This window comes from Homo sapiens, chromosome 12 (assembly GCF_000001405.40).
Source record: "Homo sapiens chromosome 12, GRCh38.p14 Primary Assembly".
Classification (NCBI taxonomy): Eukaryota; Metazoa; Chordata; class Mammalia; order Primates; family Hominidae; genus Homo; species Homo sapiens.
The window spans coordinates 55,219,357-55,238,293 of NC_000012.12; the positions used below are offsets into that span (position 1 = coordinate 55,219,357).

Below are 18,937 nucleotides of genomic sequence, written 5' to 3' on the forward strand. Positions count from 1 at the left end.
GAGGCAGTTGGTTGAGGCATTTTAGGATGCACTAAATATTGTAACTACTATAAAATCTTGATGCCTTCATCAACTCCCATATTTTTTCAAAACAAAAGATGGTGTAATTTTAGACCCATAACAAGTTTAGAATTGCTCCAAAATGTAGGTAAGCATGATAATGCATATGAAGTTTTTCGTAAGTTTTTATGAATATACCAGGAATATGATGTTGTTGTTTCTATTCCTGATGACAAGAATGATAGTGAAGCTGGTTTTGCAATAGTAGTGAGAGAGTAATGGTTGTAATCACTGTCACATGTTACCTATTATTTTGGGACTTACAAGGGCATGGGAAACCTGAAATCACCAGAGTTGTTCCTTTCTTTTTGCTACTGAGGACATTCCTTTGAGAACTTACAATATGGAAAATACACAGGTAAGATGTTACATGTCTTAAGAGTAGAATTAAAACATAGAATTATTTAAATGAGCCACAGTTTCAGAATGATTCCATACACTGTAAGTTTTTACCTACTGACTTCAGGAGCGGATATCTATTTTAAATTATTTTGACTATAAAATGAAATATGCATTTTTTTCTGAATTAAATTTAAAAAGTATGTAAAATAATTGATACGATATTTACCCAGTTCTAATATTTGGAAAAAATTATTTTTCTAACACATCCTCCTGTAATTGCTAAATTTTGGTACTAAGAATGACCTCCTGTAAAGAAAACAATTGCATAATTTAATGTTGGCCAAAATATTTTGCTCTAAGTAAGATATAGTATTTGAGTTTGTAATGGTTGAATTAGTGCTTTTGGGACTGGATCAGCTGACATACAAAAGTAAGTATATGTACCCTACTTCTGATCATGAAGTTTTAAAGAAGATGGACAGTCATGAGAGGAACTATTTTGGCAGAGAAAAGTTAAGATGAGTGTTGGGAGGATATTTCTCTATTGTAAGTCATATTTGTTTGGAAGTTTTTAAAAAATATAGCTTAAACAATATAACTATAACTCTATGTATAATAAGAAGTGGGGGCCCAGTGAAGTTGAGTTATGGTTCAAAAGACAATATAAAAATGTCATAAACTATTAGGCTGATGGAGACTACAGAGAAGCACCAAAATCATAAGCATATATTATGTTTATTTATTAAGTTTCTTGTGTGTGTGTGTGTGTGTGTACTGGGCATGTTGGTATATGTATATATTTATAGTGGATGAATGGTATAAAATGTACTATATTCAGTAGAAATGTGATTAATATAATTAAATATTAGAATGTCAAACTAGCCCATTATTTATCTTTATTGCATCCTGAAATCATTTAAAAATTAGTACACTATTCTATTTTAATTATCTATCTACACTCTTTCCACTTTATCCTACAAAATAGCATGCCTACGTTGAAGAATATGAGCACAGACTATGACTACTCATGAGAAAAAAATTACATCTAGGTGGTAAACAATGAGTAAGATTTATACAGAATGTTTATTTTTCCTTAATTTTATCTTATCATAAACATCATTTCTGCTTCAGAGAAACAGAATGGTAAGACAACTGAGAATAAAGATGTTTTATGGATGTTATTATTATTTTTGAGATTACCTCTATATTGATTTAATACCCTTTGATGCACATACTTTGATTTTTAGAGAGAAACTCATCTAAGATATGATCTGTGAAAATCACACCAGAGTCACTGAATTTATTCTTCTTGGTTTTACAAACAACCCCGAGATGCAAGTTTCCCTCTTTATTTTTTTCCTGGCCATTTATACAGTCACTTTGTTGGGCAACTTTCTTATTGTCACAGTTACCAGTGTGGATCTCGCACTTCAAACACCCATGTACTTCTTTCTTCAAAATCTGTCACTTCTTGAAGTATGTTTCACCTTGGTTATGGTGCCAAAAATGCTTGTAGATCTAGTGTCCCCAAGGAAAATTATCTCTTTTGTGGGCTGTGGTACCCAGATGTACTTCTTCTTCTTCTTTGGCAGTTCTGAATGTTTCCTTCTCTCCATGATGGCTTATGATCGCTTTGTGGCCATCTGTAACCCTCTCCATTATTCAGTCATAATGAACAGGTCCCTATGCTTGTGGATGGCCATAGGCTCTTGGATGTCCGGTGTTCCTGTGTCTATGCTACAGACAGCTTGGATGATGGCCCTTCCTTTCTGTGGACCAAATGCCGTGGACCACTTTTTCTGTGATGGTCCCCCAGTGTTAAAACTAGTCACAGTGGATACAACCATGTATGAAATGCAAGCACTTGCCTCCACACTCCTGTTTATCATGTTTCCCTTTTGTCTCATTTTGGTTTCCTACACCCGCATTATCATAACAATTCTGAGGATGTCCTCTGCCACTGGCCGCCAGAAGGCATTTTCTACTTGTTCCTCACACCTCATTGTGGTGTCCCTCTTCTACGGAACAGCCAGTCTGACCTACCTGCGGCCCAAATCAAACCAGTCCCCTGAGAGCAAGAAGCTAGTGTCATTGTCCTACACTGTCATCACACCTATGCTAAACCCCATCATCTACGGCCTGAGGAACAATGAAGTGAAAGGGGCTGTCAAGAGGACAATCACTCAAAAAGTCTTACAGAAGTTAGATGTGTTTTGACTTCTATTGTGTAAGAATGCTTCCAAAGTAGGGACAGCAGAACCTACTAACCAAAGCTTAAAACGGAATGGAAGAGTTGCTCTTATTTCATCACTAACTGGTGGGTGCATTTCTGTGTATCATTCAGGTTCCTAGCAGGAAAGAGATGGTACTCCTGAATTGGGATAAGTGAGAAAACGCTTTATGAGAGGGCTATTTAGAAATTGTGAACAAGGTTAGGTAATAGCCACACAGATCATACAACAGAACTTTTACACTTCTTGGCCTGAAGGGGCAAGTAGAAGGAGTGTTAACTGGAACCAATAGAATGCTACAACTATTAAAAAAAAATCACCTGATAGGATCTCTGTTCTTTAGTACAGCAAGGCAGCCATCCCAACCTTATTTTGATCTGACTCTCTCAAATCTATTGCTGGCTTCTGTTCTAAGCCAAACCAAATACAACATGGGGACAAGAATGTTGATGCAATGTATAAATGCGAGTCTCCTGGGGCACAGAGCAGGATGAAAAAGGGTAAGGAAAGTTATGAAAGATAAGTAAGAACAGCCACCACAAACCACTGTATATTCTGCAGCTATTGCAGTGTAACAACGAATCATGGCATCTAACCTTACAAAAATTATAAAAGGTAAAGTTTTGCAGATGCCAAGAGTCCATAATACAAATTCTTTATATGGGTTGTATGTTTAAATAAAGTTATTTAATAAAATTACCTTAGTATTAATATTTGGTGACATGATTTTGGACTTTTTTAGTCATTGGCTAAATTATCCATTAATTATTTAATAGTAAGCTCTTCTTAGAGTTTAAACAAGAAATATTTGCTTGACACCAGAGTAAAGCAAAAGAGTAATAGTAGTAGCAAACATGGTTTATTGAGGAACTGTCTTTGACACATGCCCTTGCAACAACTCAAGAGATAATTATTATATCTATATTTTTCATAAAAGATAAATTACAATCAGAAAATGTAAGTAACTTGGTAAGGCAAAAGCTATTGAGATGTGGCCACAATAGTTTGAGTCAGACCCTTTTGAATTTGAAATTCAATATATTAACCTCTTAAAAATGTCTAGTCACATTTTTATTAAGTTAAAGTTGCCACCTACATGGGAATTTGGCTTTCAAAACAATGGAGAAGACAAGATTGTCAAATTTAATTATGCAAAATTTATATTTCCAGTAGAATAAGCTTATATCGGCTTTGAGAATGCAACTGGAACAATAATATATGTTCCCGTAAATCTTCCTTAACCAAGGTTTCTGTTAATTGTACAGTTTCTTCTTCAAGCAGTAACAAACCTCCATGTTTCTTTGTTAATTTTCAGAAAAATTTAAAAGCCACCACAAATTTCCAACTTGTATTGACTGTTTTAGTTTAATTTTGATTTGCTGAAGTACATATTTATTGCATGTAATGGGAGTTTGAGGTAAAAAAAAAAAACTATTCCTTTAAATCTTTCTCCTTCAATAATCTCTTAATTTTTAAGCCTAACTCAGATATTCTTGAATTAATGTAACTAAGTTCAATAACCATCTCATAAGACTCCATTATGATGGTTTTCTACCAGCTGCATGTGACTCACAAGTAGATTGTGAGGTTATAAAATAAATTTAGTAGTGCATGTTAATGTGTCCAACAAACTAGCACAGTAAAAAGAAGTATATTCTTGACAATTAAAACTTGTATATATTTAGAGTGTACAACATGATGTTATATATAACAATTATGAGACCAAAAAAATATTTAAGATATATATGCGTATGTATATACACATACACATATTGTGTAATGGCTAAATCAAGCTATTTTAACGTACGCATTACTTCACATACTTATCAACTTTTTGTGGTGAGAAAACCCACAGGCTATTTCCAATTCTTTCATTCAGTATCTTATTGTTCTTGGTTGAAACAGAAACTATTTGAAAATCACTCTAATAATCTGTAAAGAAGGTTCTAGAACTGTAAGAAACTAAAATTTGACAACAATAAATAATAAGGAATGCTTTGTGATTGACATGGGAACACTCATAGTGGAGGTCTAGTAGAACTCAGTCACTTTACAAGTTAATTGGTATTTCCTCTTTTTCTTACCCACTTTCTTACAGATTCAGCTTTTACATCTTTCATAAATTTACAGGCTATGTTTATAGCCTGTGTCATTTATGGTATTTTGTTTCTCTTAAGCATTTTTTACAAAATATACGTAGTCACTGTAGTGGACTGGTTTGTTTTCCCCAAAAAGATATGTTGATGTTCTCATCCTTGATACCTGTGAATGTGACCTTACTTAGAAACAAGGCCTGGCAATGTAATCAATTTAAGATGAGGTTAAACTAGACTGGGGTGGATCCTAAATCCAATGGCTAATGTCGTCACATAAGCAGAGAGAGAGAGAGAGATTTGAAGACAGAGTCATACACACAGGGAAGACAGTTATGTGAAGATGGATGTAGAAATTGGAGTGATGACTGTGCAAACCAAGGAACACCAAGGATTGTTGACCACCAAATCGAAGGAGAGGAGCAGCGTGGAACAGATTTTCCCTTAGAGACTTCAGAAGAAACAGACATGCTGGCATCTTAGTTCCAGACTTCTGGCTTCCTGAACTGTAAGAGGATAAATTACTGCTGTTTATTTATTTATTTATTTATTTTTTTGAGGTTACAAGGATTTTCTTTTTTTTTTATTTTATTTTATTATTATTATACTTTAAGTTTTAGGGTACATGTGCACAATGTGCAGGTTAGTTACATATGTATACATGTGCCATGCTGGTGTGCTGCACCCATTAACTTGTCATTTAGCATTAGGTATATCTCCTAAAGCTATCCCTCCCCCCTCCCCCCACCCCACAACCGTCCCCAGAGTGTGATGTTCCCCTTCCTTTGTCCATGTGTTCTCATTGTTCAATTCCCACCTGTGAGTGAGAATATGCAGTGTTTGGTTTTTGTTCTTGCGATAGTTTACTGAGAATGATGATTTCCAATTTCATCCATGTCCCTACAAAGAACATGAACTCATCGTTTTTTATGGCTGCATAGCATTCCATGGTGTATATGTGCCACATTTTCTTAATCCAGTCTATCATTGTTGGACATTTGGGTTGGTTCCAAGTCTCTGCTATTGTGAATAGTGCCGCAATAAACATACGTGTGCATGTGTCTTTATAGCAGCATGATTTATAGTCCTTTGGGTATATACCCAGTAATGGGATGGCTGGGTCAAATGGTATTTCTAGTTCTAGATCCCTGAGGAAACGCCACACTGACTTCCACAATGGTTGAACTAGTTTACAGTCCCACCAACAGTGTAAAAGTATTCCTATTTCTCCACATCCTCTTCAGCACCTGTTGTTTCCTGACTTTTTAATGATGCCATTCTAACTGGTGTGAGATGGTATCTCATTGTGGTTTTGATTTGCATTTCTCTGATGGCCAGTTTGCAGATGACATGATTGTATATCTAGAAAACCCCATTGTCTCAGCCCAAAATCTCCTTAAGCTGATAAGCAACTTCAGCAAAGTCTCAGGATACAAAATCAATGTATAAAAATCACAAGCATTCTTATACACCAATAACAGACCAACAGAGAGCCAAATCATGAGTGAACTCCCATTCACAATTGCTTCAAAGAGAATAAAATACCTAGGAATCCAACTTACAAGGGATGTGAAGGACCTCTTCAAGGAGAACTACAAACCACTGCTCAATGAAATAAAAGAGGATACAAACAAATGGAAGAACATTCCATGCTCATGGGTAGGAAGAATCAATATCATGAAAATGGCCATACTTCCCAAGGTAATTTATAGATTCAATGCCATCCCCATCAAGCTACCAATGACTTTCTTCACAGAATTGGAAAAAACTACTTTAAAGTTCATATGGAACCAAAAAAGAGCCCGCATCGCCAAGTCAATCCTAAGCCAAAAGAACAAAGCTGGAGGCATCACACTACCTGACTTCAAACTATACTACAAGGCTACAGTAACCAAAACAGCATGGTACTGGTACCAAAACAGAGATATAGATCAATGGAACAGAACAGAGCCCTCAGAAGTAATGCCACATATCTACAACTATCTGATCTTTGACAAACCTGAGAAAAACAAGAAATGGGGAAAGGATTCCCTATTTAATAAATGGTGCTGGGAAAAATGGCTAGCCATATGTAGAAAGCTGAAACTGGATCCCTTCCTTACACCTTATACAAAAATTAATTCAAGATGGATTAAAGACTTAAATGTTAGACCTAAAACTATAAAAACCCTAGAAGAAAACCTAGGCATTACCATTCAGGACATAGGCATGGGCAAGGACTTCATGTCTAAAACACCAAAAGCAGTGGCAACAAAAGCCAAAATTGACAAATGGGATCTAATTAAACTAAAGAGCTTCTGCACAGCAAAAGAAACTACCATCAGAGTGAACAGGCAACCCACAAAATGGGAGAAAATTTTCACAATCTACTCATCTGACAAAGGGCTAATATCCAGAATCTACAATGAACTCAAACAAATTTACAAGAAAAAAACAAACAACCCCATCAAAAAGTGGGCAAAGGACATGAACAGACACTTCTCAAAAGAAGACATTTATGCAGCCAAAAAACACATGAAAAAATGCTCATCATCAATTACTGCTGTTTTAAACCACCCAGTTAGGTGATTAGTAATTAGGTGATTTTTCATGAGCTGTGTGGTAGATAGATTAAAAAAGAAAAAAACAGCCATGCCCTTTATGATGTGACTCAGGAGTGCCTCTCATCAGGATTGTGTCAATTTCCTTATCTCTTGAATCTAGTCTAGATGTGTGACTTGTTTTTGCAAAATGAATGTGACAGAAGGAATATTGCACCATTCAGAGTGTAAGGGTCAAGAAACCATGCATGCATATTCTCTCTCTCTCTCTGGCACACACGTGATTCTCATGAGAACAAGCCAAGGCCAGCATGCTGGAAAAAGAGAGATGTTTTGAAGCAGTGTTGAATTATCCCAAAAGAGTCCATTCTAGATCAGCTTACAGCTAGCTGATTCCCAAAAATGTGGAGGAACCTAGTTCAGAATCCAGCATATCTGCCTAGCCAACTTACAACTCAAGAACAATTACAAATAATTATTGCTTGAATACACTATGTTTAGTGGAGATTTGTTACATAGAAATGGCTAAGTGGTAAAAGATGCACTCCAAATAATAAGTTAAGAATCACATCTGTCAGACTCATCCTTGACTCAATAACTGAAATTGTTCCCACTATGAAGTCTGGTGCAGAGAAGCCATAACAGATCTGGATCTGGTACTTGCCTTTCTTTTTTTTTTTTTTTCCTGCATGAAATGAATAATATCTTGCGTATTTATTGGTTCAAATTTACTATCAATTCAGTTCAAATTATTTCCATTTAAATTTAAAGTGAAGTATTTTAAATTTTCTTTTCCATTAGAAATACATAAGCTCTCTGGTGCCACAATTCTATGTGGATGCCAGACATTTCAGTAGCTATTCTGAGCATTAAAAATCTTATCAGAGCTTTAACAGTTAAAGAAACTATTTCAAGGGTCATCAGGTTCAGAGAAGTGATTCCTCCTGAAGAGTTCAAAGAATAAAAGTGTTAAAATTTGCGGTATCTCTAAGTTTTCAGTCCTGTGCATTTTTCACCAGCCTCTCAAAGCACAGAACAATTTTTTCTTTTTAAGATTTTTTTAAATTGACAAACATTGCATATATTTATGGTGTTTTGAGATATGTATACAATGTGCAATGACTAAGCTAATTAACATATACATTACCTCACATACTTTTTCGTGAGAACACAATATCTACTCTCTTAGCAATTTTCAATACATTTTTATTAACAGCAGTCATCGTGTTGTGCAATAGATTTCTTGAACTTATGTCTCCTTTCTAACTGAAATTTTGGGTGCTTGCCTTAGTGAAATCTTGCCTTAATCTGTCTATCTCTGAAAATTAACTTTGTCCTCGACTTTCCAATATTTTTCTAGCTTTTACTTGAACTCCTTTATATGGCTTATCAACTGAGATTTCCACTTACCTTCTGTCTTGCCTTAATCTGTCTATTTCTGAAAATTAACTTTGTCCTCAACTCTCCAATATTTTTCTAGCTTTTACTTGAACTCCTTTATATGGCTTATCAACTGACATTTCCACTTACCTTCTGGATCCAAATACTACATTGATCTCCAAATCAATGATTGCCTCAGCTAGGCAATACTTCTAACTCCATTAGCTCTTATATATCACTACTCTCAGTAGTGATTTATAGTCCTTATAAATTTCCTTTTAGGAAAGAAAACATTACTTAGTGAGGTTTATGATCAAAAATGAGTAAAATAACTATAAATAATACTTACTCTGTACTATATTTTAAAACTGTAGAAAAAGAAAAAATGATAGTGCCCCAACACTGGCTGTTTGTGGAAAATATGCAATGGAGACAGAATATCTGAATATCTGTCTCTATTGCTCATAATGCTTCATTGGGGAAATTGGCAATTGCTAAAAATAGGCTTTATATCCATTCTTTTGACTTATACTTACTTACCAGCACAGCTGAAAGGCTGATAAATCCTTCACTACTGAATTCAACCAGCATGTGAAAGCAAGCTCAGGGGAGAATAATATGAAAAATTAATATATGTACATTGCTGAGTATATGGCAATCTCTGTCCTAAAGTTATTTACCATGGTAAACTTTGAGGTTAGGGCTAATATGATCTACACTTTACAGGTGAGGAAACTGAAGACAGGAATATTAACGTTTTATTGTCAGTTTCTGATTCATTTCCTACTATAGATACATTCGTCAATCACTTTTTAAACCCATATTGTCGGGACTTAATCTTCTGTCAAGAATCACTTTATTTTTTCTTATTAAACAAGTTTAGTTCATTTGCTGAAAAGAAACCTGACTCTAGCTGGTGAAAAATAATTCATATATATGGTTTTTGTTCTCGTCCTGCTACAGTTAATGCGGTGTGGAAGGTATCCTGAAAAAATACCTTGAATTGAGAATGCATACATTATGTTCAGAGGACTGGAGGTTCACCAGGTATAGATGCCAAAATGTTCAAAGTTAACTATTGGCAAAAAAGACTTGACAGGTATATTTATGCCATAACATAGAAGGAGCTGGAGGCAGTTAATGAATTTGAAATAGTATGTAGGTAAAGAGGTCATTTTCAAGCAGAGTAATGACAGCATTAAAATTGGAGGAACAAGAATGATGGGAGGTACAAAGCACAGGTTTGATTCAGAGAGATCAACCAGGATATTAGTGTAATACAGCTAGTGTGAGGTGTTAAGCCCATATTCCAGTGCTAGGGGAGAGATGGAACATGTAGGGAAGAATGAAAGAGAAACCACAAAGGAGCTATTTGCTAATTCATTGGTTTTGTGAGACAAGAGAGAAAGAACATCAAATATATTTCAGAGGCTAGAGAAGTAGTGGAGTCAGTCATAGACGACAGGCTTCTATACATGAAATTAGAGTATGGAGAATGGGAAGCAGTTGAAATGACAGCATATATGATGATGCTCCTAATGACGTTTGAAGTAGTATTGAATGAAACGTCATTGAATCCATCTGTAGAATTTTACATTGATTTTGCTTACACATGTCACCCTAACTGGAAAATTTTTTTTATGAAGGGGAAGTAAAGATAAACCAGAACATAGAAGTGTTTTTTCCTTTTTTTAAATTTCAATCTCGCTTCTCTGTTTACACATATCCTCACTGCCCCAGGCTAAAGTATCTAATGAGAATTGGCATGGTACTTTTATTGACTTAAAGTTCCAATTGCAGTTACTATGATTCTCTATGGAAAGTATCTTTTTTCCTTTTCTTTAAAAAATTACTATGCAATATCTTGTATGCTCAGAGTGATTGATTCCCTTGATAAACTCTAATAAATTTCATTCTTATCCTGCAAAACATAAGATAGGAGATGTTTTGTGCTATGTTTCATGCACAAAATTATTAAAAGTGTTGCATAAAATTAACTTTAGGCTATGTTTATAAGGTGTATATGACATAGATGAATTTCATGTTTACACTTGGGTCCTGTCCCCAGGATATCTCACTATATATATGCAAGTATTCCAAAATCTGAAAAAAAAATCTAAAATTTAAAATACTTCTGGCCCCAAGCATTTTGTATAAGAGATATTCAATCCATAATGATAATAACAATAATAATTAATTTTAGTTAGTATAGCTACCACAATTTTTGTCTGTCATCCTCCCTTCGCTCCAGTTAACAACTTCACTGTGTAAAGAAATTTATTTTACACTCTGTCTTTCCCTCTTTCCTTTTTTAGAGTTTCTTAGGAATTGATAGAAAAACAATTAGGGCAAGTCAAACCCAGACATTTTTTTTTCTCCTCTGAAAATGCTACTTCAAATGAAATAAAAACAATAAAAGTTATAAATCAATAAGAAAAAAGAGTGGTAGAAGAGATAACAAAATAAAAACTTGGAAGCTGAAAGATGGGTAGGTGATAACGGAATTATCAGAGAAACTAAACTGGTAGAGAAATCCTAGAAGTAAGCAGATTTCCAAGGTCAAACACACATGAGAAGGCCACAAGGAAAATGATTTCTAAGGAAGGCTTGAAAGTTTGTATATAAATGAATTAGTTAGAATTTTTTCCATCTGAGAAATAACTTTTACTCTTGCCAGCAACTTTTGCTTCCTCATTCGAGCACAACGCTGGAGGGACTCTGGAATCAGACAGAAATGTCACAGTTTAGAGATGGTGTGGAGGAAGAAGTGCTTCACTAAAAGCCGGAGAATTAACTGGAAGGATATGTACTGATTGGTGAGAATCCCAGATTCTTCTGCCACTCAGATCCAGAACATTAGCAGGCAATAGGCTGTTACTTTAAAGGCTGAAATCTAGAAGATTTATTTCTGGAGAAACTTAGCAATCTGAAAGAAAATACTGTAGAAAAGCTGGATAACCCTGAAGTACAGCACTCTACCTAATGAGCATTTTCAGTATACACAGAGCTTCAGAGAGTATTTCCCCCCTCACACTTAAATATAAACCAGAATTTGAGAAAATTTATAACACAAAAATAGATACCAAAATACATAAATGAAAAAGGAAACTTAAGAAACATCAATAGAAGACAGGGAGTAGAAGGAAGGGCTCTTCAAAAACCAGTAATAGTTTCAGAAATATAAGAACCTACCTCACCTTCATGAAATAAGAATAAAGGGGCATAAAAATAACATACAGAAGTATTAAGAGAACTTTTGAAAATTGTGTATTTATTAGTTAAAAGTTTAATAAATAGTTATGAATATAAAGGTGAAAAGTTTTATAAACTAGAACAAGATTTTTTAAAAGACTAAAAAAAGAAGAAGAAAAATAGAGTAATCCAGGGAGTTCAGCACCTGAAAACTAAAAATTTCAGCATCTGTGAACAGAGAAAATAGAAGGTAACACCCTCAAAATAATATAAGAAAATTTAAGTTAGGATTATCTAAAATAAAGGGAAAAAATCCCATTTTAGCTAATACAATAATAGAAAATAAAAGCTATAGTGATTGGAAAGGAAGCTATATAACTGTATATTTTCTCTGATGACATGATTGCCCATGTAGACAAGACAAAAGAATCAACAAAAAATCTCTTTGAACTAAGTGATTACAGCAAGTTTACAAGCTACAAGGTTAATACACAAAAGTCAGTCATTTTACTATATACCAGCAATGAACATGTAGAATTTGAAGTTAAAAACAACCCATTTACATTAGTACTCCCTAAAATGAAATAGTTAAGTATAAATGTAACAAAATATGCCCAAGAAGTATATGAGAAAAATTATAAAACTCCATTGAAAGAAATCAAAGAACTAAAGAAAGCGAGAGAACTTCCATGTTAATGGATTGAAAGACTCACTAGTGTCAAGATGTCAGTTTTTCCCAACTTTATCTATAGATTCAATGCATTTACCATCAAAATTCCAGCAAGTTATCTTGTAGATAATGACAAACTAACTTTAAAGTTTATATGGAGTGGCAGCAGACCCAGAATAATCAAGAAAAAAATTGAAGGATAAGAACAAAGTTTGAGGATTGACACCACCTGACTTCAAGACTTGCTACAAAGCTACAGTAATAAAGAGAGCTTAATACTAGTGAAGGAATAGACAAATAGATCAATGGGATACAATATAGAAATAGAGCCACATAAATATAGTTAACTGATCTTTGGCAAAGGAGAAAAGGCAATACAATAAAGAAATAGCCTTTTCAACAAATTATGCTGTGTCTTAGTCTTTTTGGGCTATTATAACAAAATACCATAAACTAGGTGGTTTATAAACAACAGAGTTTATTTCTCAGAGTTCTGGAATCTTGGAGGTCCAAGATCAAGGTGCCAGCAGATTTGATGTCTGGTAACGGCTCACTTCCTCATGAAAAGCCACTTTCTCACTGTTAGCTTACATGGTGGAAGAGGCAGACGAGCTCTCTGGAGTCTGTTTTATAAGGGCACTAACCTCATTCATTAGAGTGCTGCCCTTACTCATGACCTAGTCACCTTTCAAAAGGCCCCACATCCCAGTATCATCACCTCAGGGATTACCATTTTACAATATGAATTTGGGGTAAGACAAACGTTCAGATTATAGCATTCTAAAGAAGAAACTGGGCTCACATGCACATTACACTCTTCACAAAAAATAACTCAAAATGTATCACAGACCTGTATGTAAACGCAAAACAAAACACTTTGACGATAACATAGGAGAAAATCTAGATGACCTTGGGTATGGCAATGACTTTTTAGATATGACATCAAAGACACATTCATGAAAGAAAGAAAGAAGTGATAAGCTGTACTTTATTAAAATTAAAGGTCCTTCTCTGTGAGAGACACGGTCAAGAGAGTGAAAGAGAAGTTTCAGACTGGGAGAAAATATTTCCAAAATATATTTCCAATAAAAGACTGTTATCCAAAATATGCAAAGAACACTTAAAAACAAAAATTAGAGAAATCAGCAACCCAATTACACAATGAGCTAAAGGCCTGAACAGACTTCTCACCAAAGAAGATATACAGATGGTAAAAAAGCATATGAAAAGATACTCAAAATTGTATGTAATAAGGGATACGCAAATTAAAACAACAATGAAATGTCACTACACACATATTAGAATGACCAAATTTCAAAATACTGATAACACCAAATGTTGAAAAGAATAAAAAGCAACTGAAACCTTCATTTATTGCCAATGGGAATGCAAAATGGTATAGTCACTTTGGAAGACAGAATGGTGGTTTTCTACAAAACTAAACATTCTCTTATTATATGATTCAGCAGCAATCATGTTGCTTGATGTTTACACAAAAAAAGCTGAGAACTTATGTCCACACCAAACTTGCATACAATAGTTATATCAATTGTTTTATAATTGCCAAAACTTTGAAACAACCAAGATGTCTTTCAGTAAGTTTATAGATAAAGAAACTGTAATACATCTAGACCACAAAATACTATTCATCACTGAAAAGAGGTAAGCTATCAAGCCATGAAAAGATATAGAGAAAACTTAAATGCATATAACTAAGAAAGAAATCAATCCAAAAGAGCTACATCCTATATGATTCCAGTGATATGACATTCTGGAAAAGACAAAACTATGGACGTAATAAAAAGAGCGGTGCAGGGAGGGGAAGATGAATGGGTGGAAGACAGAGGATTTTAGAGCAGTGAAACTACTCCATATAATACTATTATATTGAATACATGTCATGTGAATGCATGTCATACATTTGTCCAGACCAATAGAATGTACAACACCAAGAGTGAACCCTAGTATAACTATGGACTTTTGGGTAGTAACAATGTGTCAAGAAGGTTCATCGACTGTAATAAATGTTCCACTTTGGTGGGGATAATGATAATTTATCATTTAAAGATACAATAAAATAAACATTTTCCTCTCAATTTTCAATATGATGAAATACATTTTGGCACATCCTCGCATATTCCATTACACTAAATTGATAGAAAAATCCTTTGGTAGTGAGCAGAGAACATCATGATTGGGAGTACTTATAGTTTGAGAGAGTTGTTTTTATTTTACATTATGTATTTTATTTTTAAAAATTTTATTCAAGTTATCCATGTAAATAATGCAAAATATTTAATAATATTTACTATGAAAAACAGCTGTGATTCTTTTACCTTTTCTTAGATAGCCAATTAAAATTTTGATTGGTTCTTTTGGCATATATCTCTATAGTTTTAGTTAATGTTCAGGTATTACTAATTCCTAAGTTTTTGGTGCAGATATAATTTCTTGCCTTCATACTACAGAGGTTGAGGATGTGGCTCTCATTAACCTATTTCTCACCTTGCAACATGTGTGCATCATTCTTATCTGCCCCATCATAGGTTGCTTTTTAAAATATATATTTATGCAGTTTGCCATCATGTTTATTTCTAAGTCTCTCTAGCCATCTCAGTGAAGAAATTGCTTTCAAGAAGAATTTTACTGTTTTCTTGAAAGATTACCTAAAATAGTGATACAATTCTAGTCAGGGGCAGAAAGGACGTTTCAAAAAATAATGCCCCCAAACTTTCTAACTTGATAAAATACATGAAATGACACATTCCAAAAGCTCAACAAACTACAAAGATAAATCTGAGATCCACAGAGACACATGATAATCAAACTGTCAAAAGCCAAAGACAAAAAGAGAACCTTGAAAGCAGCAAGAGAGAAATAAGACATACGGAAGACATCCTCAATAAGATTAATAGCTGATTTATCATCAGAAGCCATGGAAGCCAGAAGTTAGTGGGATGATATATTTAAAGAGCTAAAATAAAAAACAAGCAAATCTATCAGCCAAGAATTCTACAGCTGGCAAAAAATCTTCCAAAAATCAATGAAAAATAAGATATTCCCAGATAAACAAAAACTGAGAGAGTTTTTTGCTAGTGGACATGCCTTACAAAAAATGCTAAAGGTAGTGTTTTGGGCTGAAATAAAAGGATACTCATAAGCAACTCAAAGCCAGATGAAGAAATAAAGGACACTGATAAAGTTAACTACATTGGTAAACACAAAAGTCAGTATTATTATATTTTTGGTTTTAAACTCTACTTTTCTCCTACATGACTTAAAAGACAAATGTACAAAACAATAGTTATAAATCTGTGTTATTGGGTTTCCAATATATAAAGTTGTGATTTGTAACAACAATATAAGAGAAAGAAATTGGAGCTGTATAGAAGTATATTTTTGTATACAATTGAAACTAACATTGTATAAATGCAAAATATATTGTTATAAATTTAAGATATTAATCTTAATCCCCAGGGTCACCATTAAGTAAATAAATAAAAATATAATAGCATAGGAAATGAGAAAGAAATAAAAATATACTACAGAAAATCAATTGAACAGAAAGATAGCAGTAATGAAAGAATAGAGAAACAAAAAAATTAAAACTCATGCAAAAACAATAACAAAATATCAGAGATTATCCCTTTCGTACCAGTATTTACTTTTGAAGCAAATGGAATAAACTTTCCAATGAAAATGCAAAGATAGGCAGAATGTATTTAAAATATGATTTAATTTTATACTCAGAGTGGCTCAATTTAGATTCAAAGTCATGGATAGATGGAAAGTGAAAGGATAGAAAAAATTATTCTATGAAAATAATAACCAAATTAGAGCTGGGATAGATATCCTAATAGTATAAAAATTAACTTTAAGTAAAAATGTTTTATAAGGGTCAAAGTATTAACCAATTAGGAAGATATAACAATTATACACATATACTAACCTAAGAGAAGGGCCCCAAATATGTAAATAAAACCTTTACAATGCTAAAGGTAGTAACAGATATACAATAATAGTTGAAAACTTCAAAACATCACTTTCAGTGAATTGTCAGAACAAATTAGATCTAGTAAGGAAATAGGGAATTTGAAAAACACTATAAACTAACTAGATCTAGAACATATAGAGAATTGTCCACCCCAAAACAGTAGAATGTACATTTTTCTCAGGTGTATATACAATGTACTCTAGAAGAGACCATATGTTAGGCCACAAAACAAATTTCAATAGGAACTTAAAAATTCAAATCATATGACGTATTTTATTAAACCACAATGGAATGAAACTAGAAATTAATGAGAGAAAAATTTAAAAATTAACAAATTTGTAGAAATTAAATAACACACTATCAATGTGTTAAGGATGAAGTTACAAGGGAAATTAGGAACTTGGGGACAAATAAAAACAAACACATATCAAATCTTATGGAATACAGTGAAAGGAGTCCTCATACCTATATTTTTCTGAATGTAGATATAAAAATCCTCAACAGAAAACAAGCAAAACAAACCCAGCAGCATATTAGAAGGGTTATGTATTATGACAAAATGGAATGACTCTTAAGAATGCAATGATGGCTTAACGTGGGGAAAAGGGAATGCTTATTCATGGCTAATGGGAGTGTAAATTAGTTCGGCCACTGTGGAAGGCAATATGGCAATTCCTGAAAGAACTAAAAACAGAATTATCCTTCGATCCAGCAATCCCATTACTGGGTATATACCCAAAGGAATATAAATCATTCCACCATAAAGACACATGCATGCATATGTTCATTGCAGCACTATTCACGATAGCAAAGACATGGAATCAACCCATCAATGGTAGACTGGATAAAGCAAATGTGGTACATATACACCATGGAATACTATGCAGCCATAAAAAGGAATGAGATCATGTCCTTTGCAGCAACACTGATGAAGCTGGAGGCCATTATCCTAAGCAAACTAATGCAGGAACAGAAAACCAAATACTGCATGTTCTCACTTATAACTCGTAGCTAAATGATAACACTTGGACACAAAGAGGGGAAAAGACACTGGGGCCTACTTAAAGGTGGACAGCTGGAGGAGGGAGAGGATCAGAAAAAATACCTATTGAATACTATGCTTATTTACCTGGCTGATGAAATAATCTGTACAACAAACCCCCGTGAAGCAAGTTTACCTACAAAACAAACCTGCATATGTACCACTGAACCTTAAATAAAAGTTAAAGGAAAAAAAAAAAAGAAAATCAATCAATATAATACACCACATTGCAGAATGAAAGGGTGAAACAAGTGATCATATCAATTAATGCGGGTAAAGTATTTGCAAAATTCAAACACTTTCATGATGCAAAGCATGACAAACTAGGAATAGGAAGTAATTTCCTCAATCTGACAAACAGCATTCATGACAAACCCACAACAAAAATCTATTCGATTGTGAAAGACTAAGAGACTTTCCCCAAAGATCAGGAATAAGAAAGGATGCACCCTTTCGCCACTGTTATTCATCGTTGTACTGGAAATTCTGGCTAGGACAATTGGGGAAAATAAAAGAAAAAAAAGACATTTGTATCAGAAAAGAAATAAAGCTATCCCTATTTTCAGAACACATAATATTACAGACAGAAAATCCTAAAGAATCCACTCAAAAATATTAAAGCTGAAAAAAATCCAGCAACATTGTAGAATACAAAATCAGTCCATAAAAATAATGTGTATTTCTATACATAAATGTGACTAATATGAAAAGGAAATGAAGAAAACAATTCAATTAACAGTACCATCAAAAACAACCAAATGCCTAGGCATAAATTTAACCAAGAAGGTGAAATACTTGTGTACTGTAAACTAAAAGCATTGCTGAATGGAGTTAAAGGTCTAAATAAGTAGACAGACATCCCATGTTCATGGGTTGGTAAGATTCCAATGCTGTGCAAACGATTTGCAGATTCAGTGCATTCTCTATCAAATTCCAAGGGCATTGTTTTCAGAAATGGAAAAGCCAACCTTTAAATTTATGTGGAAGTGCAATGAATCCTGAGTAGTCAAAACAACCATTAAAAAGTAGAAGCAGGTGGGAGGACACACTTTTCACTTTCTAAACTTACTACAAATCTTCATCAATAACTTAAAAAATGTGGTACTGGCATAAGAATAGGTATAACAAAAAATGAAATAGACTTTTTCTGGGATGGAATCCAGAAATAAGCCCATACATCTATGGCTAAAATTAATTGTTTACAAGAATATGAAGACCATTGAATGAGGAGAGAATAGTCTCTTCAAGAAAAAATGCTGGGACAATTGGGCAGCTACATGCAAAAGAATGAAGATAGATTCCTATTTCACACTGTATACAAAAAGTAACCCAACATGTATCAATGACCTAAATGTAAGAGTCAAAACTATAAAACACTTAGAAAAAAAATACA

General features: G+C 33.8%; 1 protein-coding gene across 1 annotated transcript; it reads left to right on the forward strand.

Moving 5' to 3' along the window:
* The first annotated feature begins 1,668 nt into the window (after positions 1-1,668).
* Positions 1,669-2,619, forward strand: OR10A7 (olfactory receptor family 10 subfamily A member 7). Its single transcript, NM_001005280.1, has one exon. It carries the CDS (start codon positions 1,669-1,671, stop codon positions 2,617-2,619), a length of 951 nt encoding a protein of 316 aa, NP_001005280.1.
* Positions 2,620-18,937: the final 16,318 nt, after the last annotated feature.

What these genes read in the sequence shown, in the direction of transcription:
- OR10A7 (NM_001005280.1), top strand. Translation starts at nt 1,669, where the DNA reads ATGATCTGTGAAAATCACACCAGAGTCACTGAATTTATTCTTCTTGGT.